General features: G+C 34.6%; 1 protein-coding gene across 50 annotated transcripts in view; it reads right to left on the bottom strand.

Annotated features, from left to right (window-relative positions):
- PLEKHA5 (pleckstrin homology domain containing A5) overlaps window positions 1-12437 on the bottom strand; it is a 246668-nt gene that overhangs the window by 165736 nt on the left and 68495 nt on the right. For 9 of the 50 annotated variants that reach the window (NM_001385933.1, NM_001385939.1, NM_001385941.1 and 6 more), the window contains exon 1: window positions 5222-5365. The exons of 39 other annotated variants lie outside the window; for them this stretch is intronic. Coding sequence is in view for 2 of the 11 variants with exons in the window: in XM_017019502.2 (XP_016874991.1) it covers window positions 3384-3399 (16 nt within the window). In the remaining 9 variants the exon portion in view is untranslated. Of the gene's footprint in view, window positions 1-2848; window positions 3400-5221; window positions 5366-8661; window positions 10341-12437 lie in introns of those variants that run through there. 2 more of the 50 variants (XM_017019502.2, NM_001190860.3) reach the window with 2 other exon arrangements.

The following is a 12437-nucleotide window of genomic DNA, read 5'->3' as shown; positions in this document are numbered from 1 at the left end:
TATATACTTAAAAATCATACTTTCTTATTGACTTAAACTATAATTTCAGATATTTATTCTCAAGGAAAATGTATAGCTCCAAAAAATTATGCATAAAAAATCATAGCTCATCTGGAATGGAAAATAACCCAAAGATGTGTGCTAGACAGCAGACAAGCTGTACACCAGACATCAAGAAGAATGGGAGAAGATTCCAATTCCTAAAATCCAGAACTCTTCCACCGGAAATCATTCATGTTAAATGACAACTAATGGGAAAAGTTCCATTTGTATTAATAAGTCACAGGTCCTCTGTTCTGGATTTACAGTCTTTGTTACCTTTACAAAGTAGATTTTGAACTTATACTTTTAAAAATGTCAGAAATAAAAATCTCTGAATATTTGTAACATTTTACTAAGATGTATCAGGGGACTTCAAAACGTCTGTGGAAAAATGAAAGAAAAGATAAATATTATAAACTAATCCTTAACAAAAACTCCATTAAGGTTAAAACACTTTCGTAAATGAGAATATCAGCCATTTAGTCCATCCCTAAATAACTGAGAGCCCTAAGAATTTAACCATGTCAATGTAGTCTTTTTCACGTTATTAACTGAATACAAATGGACATCCGTTAAAGATTTTTTTAACATTAGGAAACAAGAAGTCAGAAGAAGCCAAAACAGGATGATGAGATGTATGCCCCATGACTTCCCACAGAAACTCTCACAAAATTCCTTTGTTTGATGAGAGGAATGAGCAGGAGCATTGTTGTGGTGGAGAGGAACTCTGTGAAGATGACTTCCCAGACATTTCTACTAAAGCTTTGACTAACTTTCTCAAAACTCTCATAAGCAGATGTTATTGTTCCTTGGCCCTTGAGAAAGTCAACAAGGAAAATGCCTTGAGCATCTTTCAAAATCGTTGCTGTGATCTTTGGTCTTGGCCAGTTCACTTTTGCTTTGACTAAACCACTTCCACCTCTTGGTAGCCACTGCTTTGATTGTACTTTGTTTTCAGGACCATACTGGTAAAGCCATATTTCATCTTCTGCTACAATTCTTCAAAGAAATGCTTCAGGATCTTGATCCCACTTGTTTAAAATTTCCACTGGAAGCTCTGCTCTTCTCTGGAGCTAATCTGGGTGCAACAGTTTTGGCACTCACTGAGTGGAAAGTTTGCTCAACTAATTTTTCAGTCAGATTTGTGTATACTGAATCAATCAAGCGGTCTATGGTGGTGCCTCCTATTTCTGCTGTTAACTGTCAGTCTTCAATTAGGGCATGAACAAGATTTATTTTTTCCTTGAAAACTGATGTGGATAGTCTGTTGGTGCAAGCTTCATCTCTAACATTGTCTTGTCCCTTCCTAAAATGAGTTATCCATTTGTAAACTGCTGATTTCTTTGGAGTGTTGTCCCCATAAACTTTTTGTGAATCATCAATGATTTCACCATCCTTCCACCCAAGCTTTACCATAAATTTGATGTTTATTCTTCCTTCAATTTTAGCAGAATTCATGTTGCTCTGATAGGAGTTCTTTTCAAGCTGATGTCTTATCCTTCTTAGTGCCTCAAACTAGGTCCTGTTCAGACTTGCTATAACACATTCATACAGGCTTATTTTGGTGTAAAAAAATTTATTAAATCCATGCATAGTTTTATCACAATATCCATTTTCCATGAATTTTTGAAGTCCCCTCATATTTTTCACTATTTCTCTCTGAATTGCATATTCAATTTCTAGTACTTTATTTTGAGAAAAATATGGCTACTAAACTACCAAAATATCAATTTTACACTAATCTTAATGGAAACTCAATCTATCTCCATTCTCAGGGACAATCATATTGATGTCAAATATTTGAGGCCAACATTCGATCTGCAGAGTACCCTGGGATCAAGCAACTAGCCCATCTCAGGCTCTTAAGTAGCTAAGAATAGGAAGTCTTGCCCCTAGATCTGTTAATATTTGTATCCTCTCTTTTTAGAATAAACAATGATTTGAGAACATGTATTAGTCATTAGGTTACAGCAAAGAAAACTGCTATTTAAATTAGGTTTCAAATTTCACAGGAGTGCCAAAAAATGAGAGCTTAGCTGGAAACCAAATCCAACTATCAATTTTTCAAAATACAATTTAAGAAAAAGTCCCCTAAAGTAGGTGGCTGGGCCAATGGAGCAGACAACAGGTATTCTACGTCCATGAGTATGATGTGTTTCAATGAAGAGGCAGAAGGTTTAAATTCGAGTGAAAAAATGAACTTTTTTTTTTTTTTGAGACAGAGTTTTTGCTCTGTTGCCCAGGCTGGGGTGCAATGGCATGATATCGGTTCACTGCAACCTCCGACTCCTGGGTTCAAGCGATTCTCCTCCTCAGCCTCCTGAGTAGCTGGGATTATAGGCGCCTTCCACCATGCCAGCTAATTTTTGTATTTTTTAGTAGAGACAGGGTTTCACCATGTTGGCCAGGCTGGTCTCGAACTCTTGACCTCAGGTGATCCACCCATCTAGGCCTCCCAAAGTGCTAGGATTACAGGTGTGAGCCACCACACCTGGCCTAGATAAACATTTATTGAATGCCTACTTTGTGACTAACACCATGCTAGGTTCTTTAGAGTATGAGAGTAGGTTCTCTAGAGTAGAGAATGAGTCGAAACTTGTGAGAATTATCAAAGTCTTTACTTGGTTACTATTTTATTATAAATATTTCATGTAGTAGTCATTGACTACACTCCTAGTGGCTTTCAAAAATGCCATTTTAACTTATATAACTATTACAATCACCTTATCTACTAATTATACATTTTACTTCTCATTACCGTGTAATTCTAAGATTACAAAATAGAAGATAAAAAGCAAACTGACAATTTTTCCTTCACTTATCCAGATATTTTAATATAGAAATTCATAGTTACAATTACTGAAATGCTTGCCAAATGTTTAATATTATATATTACAGTTTTTCCTTTTAAAAGTAAACCATATGCCAGAAAAAATTAAGTTCCAGGGTAAGGTTCTGAATAAGATATTAAAGGGCAAGAAGTTCTGCTATGAACAATCCTTTATGGTCTATTATTCCCCAAACGTACTTGACCACAAAACCCATTTTCATCTACCACTACTTAGGATCTTTAAGCACTACTGAGATTCATCAAAATTAAGGAAATAAGTGTTCCTTAATGGGTAGATGTTAAGTTAAATGAGCAGATGAATGTAATGATTTGGAAATCAATAAGATAGATAGGTATATGCTTAATATCTAGAAACCTGGCAAAGACACCCTTGCCATTGGTAATTTTTCTTTCTGTATTCTTCTTTCATTTTCCCAGTATTTCTCCACACTTTTCTTTCATAGATCTTCTATTCATTATTTCTCTTCTATTGATCTATGAAGACTTATGATTAGAGGTATCTGGGACTAAAAAAATAAGAGAAAATAGTATAAAATAGTATAATAATACAATCTTGCCATGAAAATTTTGTGATCATCAAGTTTACAGTGAATATGAGAAAGAAGTTAAAACCACATCTGTCACCATTACATAATACACATAGAATATGTATTTCTGAGATTAGTTTCAAAGACTACAGAGGACTTTATAGATTTTATACACTTGAAATATTTTAGTTGAAAAAAATTTAATAGAATTCGGAAAAGCAATACTTGTTTGTTTTCTTCCCACAATGGCTATTAGCGAATGACTTATCCCCTCATGAATCTTTGTCACAGTCTGTGAAATAATTTTATTGCTTTAGAAACTATAAATGAACCACTTTATTGCCATGGTAAAGTATTACACTAAAAGTAAGTAGAAATAAACAAGGTATGCATCATGTGCAAGGTCAAACAAGTGAGTCAGTATAAAGAAGTGGGAATAGATTTCTTGAGTCCTGTCACCCAGTCCTCATCTCTAAACGCTAACCCTCCCTTTTCATGAATATATAAACTTAAGTATACACCCACCTCCTTCATATGTGCCAATCCTGGAAAATGGCATAGTGGGGGAAGTTCACAAAATAAAGATATTTCAGGAAAGCCTCACATAATTGCCTGGCATTTGAAGGTACTAAGCTTTCAGTAGTCTCTTCCTATCGTTCCCACCCCCCACATCATTTTTCTAGACCTCTTTAAAGCACCTTATAGCCTCAAATTCCCTACCTGACATTTATGTGTACTAACAAACATGATTTTCCCCGAAGGAAATAAATATGGTAATTTTATGCTTTTTCTTCAAATCATCAAAACATATAATGGTTTATCTCTAGCAGAGTAATGCTATTTTAATCTCCAGGAGAAGACTCTGAATATTTGGTTGCCAAGTTCACCTATTATAAATACATAATCAAAATTGTGTTCATCATGAAAATAACAATGTATAGATTTTAAATATTACATAATATTATAAGAGCATAATATGGAGAAAACGCATAAAAATATCGCCCTTTAACTTCATGGTAAAACATGAACACTTTGGATTTAAAAAAAAATCACAAAACATTTAAATAAGATTATCTTCCTATTGATCACCATAATATGAGCTCAGAGAAAGTAACAGCCTAAACTGGCAAAACTATTATCATGCAACTCTTCTGTAGCTAATCAGTAAATAAAGATAGAATTCTAAATATGAATACAGAATAACTGTAACACCTTTTATTTTACAAAATGTTGTCAATTTCATTTTATTTTAGAATAGTTTATATGATCAACTGTATTACACAGCAAACTTTCATTTTTAAACGACCTTTTTAATAATATGTGTACATATTACTGTAATATACCCTATCATTTTCTTTAAAGAATTTTTGATCTTATGCAAACTGGGTCTTACCTATTACTTTGGTAGATACAATATAGAAATGTGAAAGCAAAAATTGTAATTTCATTAAGATGTAAGAACAAAAATGCTATACTGTCCAAAAAAACAAATCCTGAAGTATCTCGGCACATAATTCCGCCAGCATTATTCAAAACAAGTCAGCAAGAAAATTTGTGGAGAACATGAGAAAGTATCATCATAGCAATTTATGAACTTGTCACCTCAGAAATGTACTGGAAATATTTCAGAAGAATAAGATTTAGACTGCAGAAACAATTTTCTCCCCATCTCGGCTAAGTTGCTTGCTACATAAAGCTTCAGCACAGTACAAAAAAGCAGCAGATATAAGTAAATACATAGACTAGCTAGGAATAACTGACCGATTAGAGCAAAATAGAACAAAACAGCCAATTAACTCACCAAATAGCCTTTTGCTAAAAATCTGTGTTCTTTTCTTTGTCTCAGGCTTCTGGTTTCTAAAGACAAATTACATGCTTCCTGACAGAACGATGACAAAGGGGCACACCGTGATCTCTTTTCTGCTCTTTCCACTATAAGAAAACTGAACCACACCGCAGTCTCCAAGAGTAAGTACTTCATATGAGCATGCTCAGTATCTAATTTAAATGACTTGGTATTTCATCTCAGCATATGATGACCTACATGCAAATAAACTGAGAAAGCTGCAAATTTAATAAAGATCATTAACTGACAATAAACTATACAGAACTACCAAATGATAACTGATTTGTTTTTAACTTCATAATCTTTGTGGTTCATTTAACTGGAAATGATTATTTCTACAAGTTTATTAAATAACAAGTCCTTAGGTTTCAATATAGAATTAACTATGTCAACATAAGAATCCCAAAATGCTAGAATGAATTGGAAGTTGCAAAACATCCAAGATGTGATCCCAAAATGTAAATGGGACCAGTGATAAATTAAACAAACTATAAACTATCCTTATTTCACTTTTCAATCTCTTATTCTGTTCTCTTGCCTGTTCACCAAGTAAAACAATCTGAAAACTATGCAGTGGTATTTTAACTTCTCCTTTGGAAATATTAATAAAGACTAATAAACTGAAATGTTCAATGTATTTATTAAAATGTTTGCTATCTTCAAACTACAGTGATAGGATTTTTCTTATCTGTTGTTTACATATTAAATAATTGATTTATAGATCATACATCACCCAAATATTGACAAACCTATACAAAAATTTTTAAATAATGTTGCAAGTTTGAGAAAAAGTTTTATAAAAATGGCACAAAAATCAGCAAAATATTCTGTGTATGCATGTTTATGCCATCAAATACATAATTCACCTAGTTTGTTAAGTAAATTGCTGCAATGGCCATTAGTCTGGGATGATGAAAATATGGTCAAGAAGTTTTCTCCTCTGCTCCATTTTAATTTTCCTCCATAAATCCAGATCTAGTACAGCCCCACTAAAACCAGCCAGACAACTCTTTCATATCTACTTTCCACTTTCACCTTGGGTAGATGAGCAAAAATAGGAAGTGTTTGAACACTTGACATGCACCAAGCTCACGACAGCAAGTCACTGACAGAGTGGGGCTGACCCATCTTTAAATGTACCCATATGCTAATTAGTGCTTTTCCCTTCTTCCCAACCCTTCCTGGTCACCTCTATTACTTCCCTATTGTAAATCACCCTTCTATATAAATGTCTCATTTTTGAGAACAGTAGCCTCACAATCCTCTACCCTCCTGCCTCTTAACATGGAGGGTGTGGGAAGGTAAGAAGACATAGGAAATAGCCATCCCATGGAAACAGCTAAGATAAGGCCCTTCCTGGGACAAGGTTATCAAAAGGTCGCAAAAATTAAAATGTGTCAATACGCATATGTTTTGTGTCTCTAAGTACTGTATGTATGGGGGTGCGGTAGTTCTGTAGAAAGAGTAAGTTACCTACAGTACTCAAAGAAAGCTCTATGATTCCTAAATGAGAAAGTGAAAATTCTTCACTAAAAAGAAACAAATAAAAAATCTAACTGTGATCTCTAAGTATTATTTGAGAACAGGTTATATATGAGTCACGGTACGCTGCAATACACAATGGAAACAAAAATGAGTACAACTATCTCTGCTTTTAAAAGAGTTCAACTGATAGGAAAGACTAGGCAAGAGTACATATACATATAACTAATCTAAGTATTACAGCAAAAGACAGGTGCTTTAGTGTTCTTGAGAGTTTAGAGAAAAGAGAGAAAGCATTTGAAGGAAGGCAATTAGTAGTCTTTGTGAGAGGGGTGAACTTTCTGAAATGCCCAGGTGAATACTAAGGATCTAGACTAGACAGGAGAGAGAAAGAGGAGGAAACAGCCAGGTCAAGGCTGAGATATGGCACAGTGGAGGACCTGGGAACTGGTGGTGTGGAGACTGGAGAACTTGTATTGACAATGCGAATACTAGAAAGTGACGGCTGTCAACAATGGGAAGAAAGAAAGAGATAAAAACTAATTATTCTGGGATGGAATCTGGAAGCAGATGGCAAGAAGTGTTCTATACCCTGGATAATGGAAGAGTGAGGGAGTCAACTCTAAGAGACAGACAGAAAAACAGGTAAATGAGGACAGGTAAAGAGGTGGTAATTCCAGTCACACCGGCATAGTACTTACTCATTTCAAATTCACTTTATGAATTCCTCCATACCACTAAATTGCTCTCTAACATGCATTTCCTGTCTCCTATACATCCAACTTAAGTGTTCTGATTTAAAATTGAGATCATCTTGTAATTACATATATCCTTTAAACTTGAGGCCTTCTTTTTTAAATCCTTATATATCACTTATTCTTTAACTTACTGATTTACCCTTTCTCTACCAGCAAAACCTGATACAATGTTTCCCAAATACTACCCCAGTAAGAATGAATGTTTAAAAACTCAACCAAAGATATAACTCACTTCTATGACAACTGAATATCCTCTGAAGACTTTATACAGTTTTAGTGCATTTGTCCTAACGCAGGTAGGACAGTGCATTTGTAACTGATACATGAGGATGGGTGGATCTCGCTCATGACTTAAACGTATCTGCCTTCCATCTGATACCTAACCAAAGGGAGGGAATGAGAGGAGCAAGACTGGAAATGAATACATGAGCCTTATACGGCAATTATCATTATCACATCATTATCACCCAGAGACCACAGTTTGTTAGGGTTCACAATTGGAGTTTGTTAGGGTTCACAATTGGCGTTTGTACATTCTACGGGCTGAGTCTTAACACTGCAATCTGTTGTTGTTTTGTTTACCATTGGGTTATAGCAGAACCATTTGTGAAGCTGGAGAACACACACACACATACTCTCAGGGTCCAGAAACCTTTCAACCTGACCTGTCAGTGGAGCCAGTCTGTAAAACCTCCCTAAATTTTGAGTTTGCTCTGATTAAGAACCACTGCTCTAGATGCTCACCAGTTCACAGCCTTTCAACTTATGAGTCTTGTTTTAAGGTGATGAATGACAGCTAGCACTTACGGAATGTCTCATATATATGATTTCATTTAATATTCACAAATCCTCACATAATAGATCTTATTAATATTCTACCTGGTAAACAAATCTGGACACAGAGACTCAGAGGCTTCTCCAGTGTCACACAGATAAGTGAATAGAGTTGAAATTTGGACCCAGATTTTGGAATTTTTTTGTGGTAATAGAAACCCAAGGTCTAAATGTGACCTAAAAGGCAGTGAACTCAGCAGGCAAAACTACTGAAAATAATTTTCAAGAGTAAAGAAATATGGAAAAAGGTAGGGGAAGAGTGGGGAGTAACTGTGAAGGGAATAATTAAGAACGAACAAAAAGTAATGAACCCAAGGCAAGTGGTACTAACTCAGCTTTTATTTAGTTTTATTGCAGTGTAATTCACATTTCATTAAACCCACCTATGGTTAAGTGTACAGTTCAGTGACTTTTAGTGAATTTACAGAGTTGTGCAACTATTACCACATCTAGTTTTATAACATTTCTATCACCACAAAAAAATTCCCTCATGTCCCATTTACAGTCAATCTCCACGTCCACCACCAGCCCTAGGCAACCACTGATTTGTTTTGTCTCTATAATTTGCCTTTCTGGGAAATTCATAAAAATGGAATTATACAATGTGTAGTCTGTGTCTGGCTCTTTTAGGCAGCATCAAGGTTTTAAAGTTCAGTCATCGTATACCATTTATCAGTCAATTATTTCTTTTTATTGCTGGGTAGTTTTATTGTATTAATAAACACATTTTGTCTCTCCATTCACAGTAGTTGACAGACATTTGCACTGTTAGGCTGTTATGAATAATGCTATCAACATTTTAGTACAGATCTTTGTGTGCACACGTTTTCATTCTTAACATACTTACGTAGTAAAATTGCTTGGTCAAATTTACAATTAATTTTTTCCAGAAACTGCCAATCTCTTTCCAAAGTGGTTCTAACATTTTATATTTCTATTACTAGTGTAACAGAGTTTGAGTTTCTCCACATTCTCCGCAATACTTGATACTGATCGTCTTTGATTATAGCCATTCCTAGTGGGTTCCTCAGTGTGGTTTTAATTTGCAATTTGCTAATGTCTAATGATGCTGAACATCTTTTCATGTGCTCACTGGCTATTTGAGTATATTCTCATGTGAAATATATTTAAATTTTTCCCTCATTTAAAAAATTGAGCTGTTTGTCTTGTTATTATTGAGTTGTAAAAGTTCTTTAAAAATTCTGGATATGAGTTATTTGACAAATATGTGATTTGCCTGTACTTTCTCCCAGTCTGTGACTTGTCTTTTCATTCTCTTCAGTATCCTACACAGATAAAGCAAAATTTCTAAATTTTGATGAAGTCTAATTTATCAATTTTTTCTTTTGTAAATCTTTAATCGCATCTAAGAAATCTTTGCCAGACCCAATGTCACAAATAATCTCTTTTTTCTAAAAGTTTTATACTTTTTGTTTTTACATTTAAATCAATAATCCACTTAATTTTTGTGCATGATATGATAATAAGGGCCTAAGGTTTTAAAAATTTTTTATGCTTACATATAGCTATCTATCTAATTATCATAACATCATTTATTGAATCATTCATTTTCCCCCAGTGAATTCCTTGGGTACCTCTGTCAAAATTCCTTCCTTGGTTTTGGAAAGCAGAAATAGCAAGCAAGGAAAGGGTTAAGAAAAATGAATGAAGATACAGACAGATTTGGATTGAAGAGGAAGAAAAAGCTAATGAAGTTCAGGCCTGATAGTTTCTACTTTCTTCTCCAAGGTATGATCTACTAGGAATGAGGAAAAGAGGAGTGAGACAAGCATTCTGAGGTGAGTAATCAAAGATTTGGAACATTTGTTATGGAGAATAGGAAAGCTACTGGATAACGAAGACAATCAGTTTAGAATATGCTGTTTTGTCAACTAGTATTAGTCACCAAGAAGTGAAGCTAGTCATAGGCCTGCATACAGATACTGGAACTTCCATTACATCTTCTATTCCCAGGAAGAATGAAAAGGAAATCTATTCAGCTGGAAGGATAAAGGATAAAAAAAATTGTTTTAATGTTTAAATTTTTTTTTATTGGTACATAATATCTATACATATTTAAGGGGGATGGGTGATACTTTTGTTGCTGCATGGAAAGTGTAATGATCAAGTTAGGTTATTTGAGGGGATCCATCACCTCAAGTACTAATCATTTTTCTGTGTTGGGAACATTTTAGGTCTTCTAGCTATTTATTCAGAAATGCATTTAATACATTGCTGTTAACTATAGTCACCCTACTCTGCTATCCAACATTTGAGCTTCTTCCTTCCATCTAACTGTATGTTTGTACCCACTAACCAACCTTTCTCCAGCTCCCCTTCCCCCTATACTGTCATCATTCCACTGTCGACCTCCATGATATTCATTTTTTTAGCTTCCACTTAAGAATGTGAACATGTGCTGTTTGTCTTTCTGTGCCTGGCTTATTTCACTTAATGACCTCCAGTTCCATCCATGTTGCTGCAAAAGACATGATTTCATTCTCTTTTAGTGACCCTTTTCAAAAAGTTTGAGATTTCACCTTAGAGAATAAAATATAGAATCAGCTACACACAGCTTCAGAAAAAAAGCTCAAGTCGTAGAATGTGCTTTTCCTCCATGGCTTCTGTGGTCTTCAGGTTTAATGCTACTTTTTGCTGGGACTTGGTATCTCAACAAAGAGTATCTTGCAGTACAAATATTTACATCAAACTTTCTAAGTGTGGTTGGCTACTGAGCAACTGCAAGCTCCTAAGATCACACTGCCATGTATTCATGAAACAAGTCTGAATTTTAACCAACCACTGGGGAGAAAAACCAGTGGCAACAGGATCTTGAAAATGAGAAATAAACCACAAGTTAGAAACAGATGCTGCCATCACTGCCACCACTTCATTCTTTGGGACAAACCAGTGACACTCCTCAGTACAACACACTGACAATCAGTCATGAAGTAATGACACTACATGTTGTTGATAAAAGATTTTTATTTATATTTTATTGCTTTCTCACCCAGATATATCTACAGAAGGCATTTTTTCAAAAAAAGAAAACAAGTATTTTGATTTTTAAATATTCAATCTTTAGGAAGATCTCTACCAAATCAGGAGCTTATATTTGCAAGAGTCTTAGGCAGAGGTATAAATTCTGCATAATAATTTGTTACTGTCTTACAAAAAAGAATTGTAAATTTTAAAACATATTTCCATAAAATAACTGTAATGATCCAGTGACTTTTACTGCAGTGATAAATCCTTAGCATCTACTTAGCATATGGCAAGATAATGAATAGACCTAATTATACATTATTTTGGCATTCAAGCTGTCTTTTGCTATAGACAATGTTTAGACTATAAGAAAATCTGTCATGTTTTGCTAGAAAAACAAAAAAACAAAACCATACATGAAATAATTTTGCTGCTGAGTAATGGTCTTATAGAAAAATTTTTAAAAAATATTTCACTATGTAAATAAAAAAATGGGGATAACTATTCCTGCATTCTGCTAAAAGACAGAAAAATAAATATTTCTTAGCGCTCCTTTCCCCAAAATCAGAATAGTCACTTTTTTTCCCACTCTGCCTAAGGATATTGTTAATCAGATAGTTAATATCTTAAGTATTAAAAATTTGTAATTAAAAAAATCTGCTCCCTTTGTTCATTCACACAATCATTCATTCCACAAATATCTACTAAGCATTAACTATGTACCAGACACTGTTCTATGTATTACACATAACAGCAGTAAAAAGGTCTATGCTCTCATGGAGCATATATTCTCATGGGGGATGAAACTCAATAAACAAAAGACTACATGAGATAGTGGAAAAGGGTTATGCAAAGAACTAAGACAGGTTCAGTGACTCAGAGAATGGATTGTCAGGAAAAGCCCCGAGGGCCAACAGTTAAGCACTGACTTAATGTCACAAAAAGGGGAAAAGAAATCCGGATAGAGAGAGTGGACAGTTAGTTTAAAGGCTCTAAGCCTGGCATATCTGAGATGAAAGAAGGCCTCTGTGACTAGAGTATGGTAGGGTGAGAGGAAAACAGCTGTAGAAGTAGAAAAGTCAACTAGGGTTAGACTTACAAGTCAGATAATG

This window comes from Homo sapiens, chromosome 12 (genome assembly GCF_000001405.40).
Source record: "Homo sapiens chromosome 12, GRCh38.p14 Primary Assembly".
In the NCBI taxonomy this organism is placed as follows: Eukaryota; Metazoa; Chordata; class Mammalia; order Primates; family Hominidae; genus Homo; species Homo sapiens.
This window is presented reverse-complemented; position numbering and strand designations above follow the sequence as displayed.